General features: G+C 54.4%; 1 protein-coding gene across 10 annotated transcripts; it reads right to left on the bottom strand.

The window, feature by feature from the left end:
- Window positions 1-6926, bottom strand: AOC3 (amine oxidase copper containing 3). 10 transcript variants are annotated; one of them, XM_011525419.3, is made up of 5 exons: window positions 5182-6926; window positions 4761-4853; window positions 3392-3677; window positions 2552-2681; window positions 1-1850 (listed from the first exon to the last, which is right to left on the bottom strand). In XM_011525419.3, the coding sequence occupies exons 1-5, from the start codon at window positions 6779-6781 to the stop codon at window positions 1575-1577; spliced, it is 2385 nt and encodes a 794-aa protein (XP_011523721.1). In that variant the 5' UTR covers window positions 6782-6926; the 3' UTR covers window positions 1-1574. The 10 variants fall into 10 exon arrangements, 8 of the variants coding, with proteins under 8 accessions (XP_011523721.1, XP_011523722.1, NP_003725.1 ...); NR_102422.2 differs by lacking the exon at window positions 4761-4853 and having other exon boundaries at window positions 3392-3588; XM_011525420.4 differs by lacking the exon at window positions 2552-2681.
- Between the last annotated feature and the right edge of the window lie 352 nt (window positions 6927-7278).

Here is a 7278-nt window from a genome sequence, read left to right as displayed (position 1 = left end):
TTTGGGCCCATTTATTGTTTATTTTGAATAGGTAATACAGTCACATGGTTCAAAATTCAAAATGTACAAAAGGGTGTAAGTGTTAAGACCCTTCCCTCTCCTGTCCTCAACCTACTGGTTCCCCTCCCAAAAGTAATCAGTGTTACCCATTTATTCTGAATAGGCATACATAAGCAATTATGTGTTTATATTCTACTCCTTTCTGAAACACAAATGGGAAGTGCGCTATACACATTTCTGTGGCTTGCCTTTTTCACCTGAAGATTATTACATATTAGTATATAAAGACATACAATTATTTTTTAGCTGCATACTATTGTATTGTAAGGCTGTATCAGAATTGATTTAACCAGTCCTTTAGAGAAAAAAGTTTCTGTTGTTTCTCATCTCTTGCTATTTCTTTGTCCCCATCCCCAATCCAGACCTCAGGAGGGACAGCAGTGATGGGAATGGAGCCCAAGCCTGGACCAGGCCAGGCCCTGCCCCACCCAGGCCAGGCCCCTCCCCACTAGGCCAGACCCCCACCTCACCCAGGGCCCAGCTCATTCGCATGCCTGAATGTGATTGGACAGCCCCTCCTGGCTGGGTGGCTGGAGTTGTAGGGGCTTTGGCTTCTCATCTTTGATGCCCACCCTTTGTTTCCACTCCAGCCTCCCAAACAGGCTGTTGCAGAATACAGAGCCCTGGTACAAAATGGCCATTCTTCATTATCATTGCACCCCCAAATCACTTGAAATGCTAACTTGAGCTGCTGCTGTCACGATGACCATCCTCCTCTATAGAGAGCATGAGGCAGGCAGACACAAATGCACAGAAGCAGCTGTCCTGAAACACACCCAGCCCCAGGACAGGGGTAGGAGCAACTCCTACTCCCAATAAGCAACAGACACAAGGGAACGACACACAGGGATTGGCCACTCTGATTAGGGGTCCCGTGACCTTGAGACTTCCATAGGGCTGGAGAGGAGACGGAACTTGACTGAAAACTGAGGGCTGGGGGAGTACCAGGGGCTGGGACATAGGGATATCCCCTCAGGATTCGGGAGAAATTGCAGGATAGAAGAGAAGGCAGGAACAGGAGGAGGAGGAGGAAGTAGGTGAGAGAGAGGAAGACGAGAAGGAAAGGACCTGGATGAGAGGGAATGTGAGCAGAAGCATCCTTTCCAGCTCAGCTATGGACTTGCAGGACTGGCAACCCTACTCTGGGGTCTCCAGGGAATAGCCCCCTTTTAGAGTCCTTGGAGGTGGCCTAAAAAGATTCGGGAAAGCCAGACAGCAACAAAGGGAACCATCTAGGGAAGCCCTCGGCCACGGCTCCAGGCTGGGCCATGCCTGGCCTCTGTGGATGAGAACTCAGTACAGCTGGCATCAACAAGGTTCAGTGTCCCCTGTGTCAGGCATCACAGGGTCAGGAGGCTCCTGGCTCAGAGGCGGATGCGAGGGAGGGTAGTGGAAGAAAGAGAGTCCTGGCACAGGAAAGAGGGAACCAGGCTGCCGGCCCAGTGCCCAGCTGCTCCCCATCCCTCACACCCTGGCCCTGGAGCCCTTGGCCACATGCCCCATCCCAGGACCGCCTAGTTGTGAGAGAAGCCCCCGTGGGAGAAGGCAGGGAGGTCGGGGGCACAGGCAGCAGCCTGGGGCAGGCAAGCTAGGGGGTTGACCTCGCAGGCCCCAGCATCCTGGTCCCCTCGGAAGTAGATGGAGTCGGCAGAGTAGAAGGAGGGGTCTTCGTCAAAGAAGTTATAGGGTCGGAGGAAGAAGCCCACGCCGTTCCCCACAGTCACTGTGTTAGGAATGTCCTCTGCATGTGGGATATGCAGAAAACCAGCTGTCACCCAGGCCACCAAATCCTAGCAGGGGAGAAGAAAGAGGATCACGAGGTCTGGCTTTGCTGAGGACATGCCCTGGTAGGGATTCAGCTCACCAGCCCAAGGATCATGAGTCTTTAAACATTTTTTCCTGCTGGGTAGGAGTCAAAGCATAAGTAGTCCATTTCATATTAGGAACACCTGCTTCCCTGTCCCTGGCTTGCAGCCTCCATCTCTGACATTTCCCATCATATCGCCCATTGCCTATCTACCCCCAGAGGGTGACACCCACAGGCTACTTCAGCTCCTCTTCCCCTAACTCTCCAAGAGTTCCCCACAACTGAGGAAAGAAGGGTGGAGGAAAAAGAACCAGCGCTTGGGAAGCAGAACCAGGCCAACATTGTGAAATTCATCAAGTCAGGAATGGGAGAAGCTTCAGATACAGGAGATGTCATTTTCCCTGGTAACTTCCATCCCTCCTGAGTCCTGGAGCCTGGAAAGGACTCAGTCCATGAAACTGGAACTAAGAGGGCTCTAAGATCTCAAGGACAGGCCCAGGGCCTCACTCAGTGTCTGCATATGGACACCCAGCTCAGGAAGGTTCCCTCAAAGGATAATGATCAGATATACTGAAGTGCAGAAGGCAGGAATCAGCACCACCCCTGAGAAGTGCAGGTGGTTTTCAGGGACCCTCCCAAGAGAAAGCAAGGCTCATCCTGTACCCTCTACCCCGGCCAGCTGACCTTTCCAGCAATGGTCTCATTGTTGATGAAGTCACTGAAATCCACAGTGGGGGCCCAAGGGTCATTCTGATTGAAAACGCTGCTGCTACTGGGCTCCTCCTCCTTCCGCTGGGTCACAGCCAGCTGGTACCTAGGGAGGCACTGGTCAGGCCTCCATGGCCATTGACCCCATCCTGCTGCCTGATTATGATGAAAGGGAACTGAGTGCTCAGAGCTCAGCTTCCCCAATTGCAGTCACACAACTGACTCGGCGCTACAGAATCCCCGACGTCACCCTAAGGGGGGTCAAGTCCTCCTGTTTATCCCCAGCCATTTAACAGTACAACCCCTCTCCCATCCAAAACAGAAGAGAGTTCTCACTCCTGGGCTTTAGCCTCCAAGGGGAAAATGTGCCCATCATGGTTTCTTTGGATAACTAGAAAAACCTTTGGCCAGGCATTGTGGCTCATGCCTGTAATCACAGCACTTTGGGAGACCAAGGAGGGTGGATCATGAGGTCAGGAGTTCGAGACCAGCCTGGCCAACATGGTGAAACCCTATCTCTACTAAAAATACAAAAATTAGCCATGTGTGGTGGCGTGCACCTGTAATCCCAGCTACTGGGGAGGCTGAGGCAGGAGAATCGCTTGAAACTGGGAGGCGGAGGATGCAGTGAGATTGCTCCACTGCACTCCGGCCTGGGCAACAGAGCAAAACTCCATCTCAAAAAAAAAAAAAAAAAAGGAAAAGAAAAGCCTTCCTGAGAGAGCTCTCCCCTCACCTACAGTGTGAGCTGAGTGTCCGCCAACACTCCTTTCCCACTCTCACTGCCCCCCTCCTCTCTGACTGCCCGCCACTCACCTCTCCCAGCTGAAGCCTCTCGCCATGGAGCTGTTTTGGGGCAGCGGCTCTCCAGCAAAGCTGAGCATCTGGATGCGGTAGCCCCGGGGGTGACCCCACTTGTTGCTGTGGTTGCTGGCCAGGTACAGGTAGCGAGGGGTGGCGCTTCCCACGAGGAAGGCGGCCTGCTCCTCCATCTCCAGCAGCTTCCGGGTCACCTGCAGCCTCTGCAGCTGGTGCTCAGGGCTCCAGGGCACAGCCATGGGGACAAAGACCATATCCTCGGCCCAGACCCAGTTCTCCAGTCCTGCTCAGGGTGGGATAGGGGAGGGCCTGTCAGGCAACTGCCCTGGCCCCTCTGGACTCTGCCCCCATCTGGCTTCAGAGTGGGGGCCAAAGAGCAGCCCAGAACTGAGTGTGCCCCTCCTTCTCTTCCCTCTCCCCAGGATACCTCCAATCCTTTAGCCAAAGCTGTTGACCTGTAAATTAAAATACTTCATCAGGGAGTTCATTCCATTTCACTCATTCATTCTTTCAACATTCATTAGCAGAGAGGACTGTACTCGTCCCTGGGGATAGAGATGAATGATCATCCTTACCCTCTTGCTTTCCACGCAGACAGACAAACCACTGACTGGCCTGTCCTGTGAGAGGAGCATGGCCTAGGCAACTTCCGGATCACAGGAATACAGTTGCAGGCAGGAAAAGGGGGCCCTTCCGGGCAACTTTTCAGCCTGGCCTTAAAGGACATTACCAGAAAAGATGATATGGAAGGACATTCTAAGCAGAGACAAAGCATAAGCAAACAGGAGGATGCCTGACTGTAACATGTGAAGTGCGTGTCCAGGGACATGGAGAATTTGGGTGTAGCTGTGCAGAGCACAGCAAGGCAGGGTGGAGCTGCACCGTGAAGGAAAGAGTTTTGAGGGGGTTCTGCAGACAGGATCCCACAGGTGATGACGAAAGTGAGAGCTGAGTAAAGGGCAGGCTGGTGTGGATGGGAGGCCCTCTGGGTGCAGAGTGGCTCTTGGCTCTGAGAGCAACAAGAGCAAAAACAGCAGAGAGAGGGCTGGCACCTGCACGGCATGACAGTCTGACCTGCCGAGATACTGCAGGTGCAAAACAGAAACAAAACAAAATAAAACAAAACCAAAAAAAAACACCTGGTGACTGACTCAATGTGGGGAAAGACAGTGAAAAGACAAAGATGAAGACTCCAAGCCATCATGTAGCCTTGGCTCTCTCTGTGACCAGACTCCAGGATCTATCCAGAATGCTCCACGGGATCCATGTGACCCCTCACACTTAGGTGAATTGTGCCCAGAGAAAGAAGGAAAATCAGGGAGGAGGGTCCATCTCCAAAGGAAATGTACAACCTGGAATGACTGACCTGCACATGCCAGGGACGTGGTAGAATGCAAAGAGATCCTCCAAAACACCACCACCACAGGCCAGACACAGAACTGAGCTGACAAACAGAAGGCTGCTCCCAGCAGCAGAGCCCATATAAGTACAAGGGAGAGAAGAGGGCAATGGGGACACTGTTAGCCCAAATCCTGCCTCCTCCCTGAGCTCGGCCATTTCCCAAGATCTTTGGATGAGGTCACGTAGAGGAAGGCTGCAGCTTTGCACCCAGCCAGTGAGCTAAGATCCAAATAAAACTCAGCAGCCAACTCTCTCCCATCCAGCAAAAGGGGAAGTACAAAAATCCACGTCTTCCTTTCTGGGATAATCTACATAAAACCCAAAGCTAATGGAAACAACTTTTCAGCCCTTCTTCCAGAAGCCTTCTCCCCACCAAAATGTCTTACCTGCTACATCCAGATCCACCTTGAAGTGGGCGCTGTGGGTGTGGACCGTGCCCAGGGTGTGCTCTGACACTTGGTTCCCGTACTTCCCAGTAGCACCAAAGAGGAATGCCGAGCTGATGTAGCCCGTGGCATAGAATCGTATTTCTATGGCCCCACTGGGGTGGAAGACCGTATCCCACACATAGTCATAGTTGAGCAAGGTGGACATAGATCTGACGACCAGCACCGTTTCCGCAAGACCCCCAAAGTAGTGCGAGTAGAGATCTGAGTGGTGTCGCCGCAGGGGGAGGCCCTGGTTCTGTTCAAACACACAAAAGGCATCACGTATTGTCTTGGGGGCCTGGGACTCCAAAAGGAAGTGCCAGTCCACGTAGGTGGCCAAGTAGGGGCAGTCCACCCCACGGGTCAGGGGCGTGGTGTACTTGCCCATGCCAAAGCCTCCATCCACATAGCGGGTCGTCATTGCTGCTGGGGAATTTCCACCATAGATGGCCAAGGCCTCTTGGAGGCTTATCTCATAAACTAGTCTTTCTCCTTGGAAGCGAACGTCAAAGATCCTTGGGCCACTGAATGCTCCGAGGCCAAAGGAGAAAGTCCACAGTGAGGAGGCCACTCGACTTCCCTGGACACTGAAGCGGGGGCCTTGGGGATAGAACTGTAGAGGGGGAGCTGGACCCGGGGGCACAGGGGACTTCAGGGACCAGGACCCACCTGTGCCATTGTCTGGGATCAGCACCACATTCACCAGGCCGGCCTCAAACTGGGCCTCCAGCTGGGCCAGGCTGTCGTAGTAGCGGCCTTGATAGAACACCTTCTGGATAGTCCAGCGGGCAGGGTCAAGGGCCTTGTGGTTCACTAGCAGCTCCAAGCCCACGTGGTGCAGGAAGAACCCAGCGCCCGAGATGTTGTAGTAGAGGCCAAACCAGGTGGCCCGGTCCCCTGATTGCAGACCACGGGGAGCCGTGGTCATTGTCACCAGGTTCCGTCCCCGGTGCTTGTAGAAGCAACAGTGGTGGAGAAGCCCAGAAGCCTGGGGCAGCTCTCTGTTGAAGATCATCTGGTCTATGTCCAGGTACTCTTGGAACAGCACGGGGCGTCGGTGATAGGGCAGGGGGCCTCCATGACGCTCCACAGTCACGTCCCGCATGTAGGAGGGGTGAGGCAGTGGCCCCACCACCAGCTCACTCACGTTGGGCTGGGGTTGCCTGCCAAAGAAGACGATGGCCAGTGCCTCCCGGGCAGGTGGGGGGCTCCCCCTGTCCAAGTGAGCCAGGGCTGCAGCCTTGGGAGGCAGCTGCAACTCCACTGAGAAGACACAGTTGTCCGAGGGCCGGGCCTGGGCTGCATCCACCAGCCCTGGCCCCAGCCGCTGGGTCAGAAAGCGCATCACAGCCGTCAGCTCCTCTCGGCTCAGGTCTGCAAACAGCTGGCTCTGGCCAGGGTGTGTCCAAGGCTGGGCACTGGGAGATACAGAGGGGCAATGGGGAAGCTGGCTGGGTTCACCCCCATCTCCACCCCTGCCCACCAGCAGGACACAAACCAAGGCAAAGATGGTGATGACGGCCAGAATGAGGAGCACGAGGATTGTCTTCTGGTTCATTTTCCCACGAAGAGGGACAGCTGATTCAACCAAAGGAGAGCAATGTATTCTCACGCCAGCAAGACGGGGGCTCTGTTGGCTCCTGGACGGGGTGGGGGGCTCCCGGACTCTGGCTGAGGTTCCCGGTAGTCAGATGCCTGGGACTAAGGGTGGGAAGGACACAGGAAGGCTAGGGCAAGGGGGCGGGGTGGCCGGGGTTGGAGGCGGGTCTGAACAGCTGTGATTTCCACAGACCTTACATGGTTTTGTCTTCCAGCCTCCAAATCACTCTACTTTCTGGGTCAGGGTTGGAGTTGGGGAGAGTTGGGGCTAGGGGGAAGGGGAAGGAAAATTTCAAGATAATGCAGCACTGGGAAGGAGCAGGATCTGTGCAGAGCAGCCTCTCCTGACCTCAGCCCAGCTTCTTCCCCAGTCCCCCACTTAGTCAGGGCCAGATATTTTCCTGTAACTTCAAACTATCGTTTTCCTTCCAAAGACCCCCACCCCCTGCCCCTTTA

The sequence above is a fragment of the Homo sapiens genome, chromosome 17 (genome assembly GCF_000001405.40).
Source record: "Homo sapiens chromosome 17, GRCh38.p14 Primary Assembly".
NCBI classification, from domain to species: Eukaryota; Metazoa; Chordata; class Mammalia; order Primates; family Hominidae; genus Homo; species Homo sapiens.
This window is presented reverse-complemented; position numbering and strand designations above follow the sequence as displayed.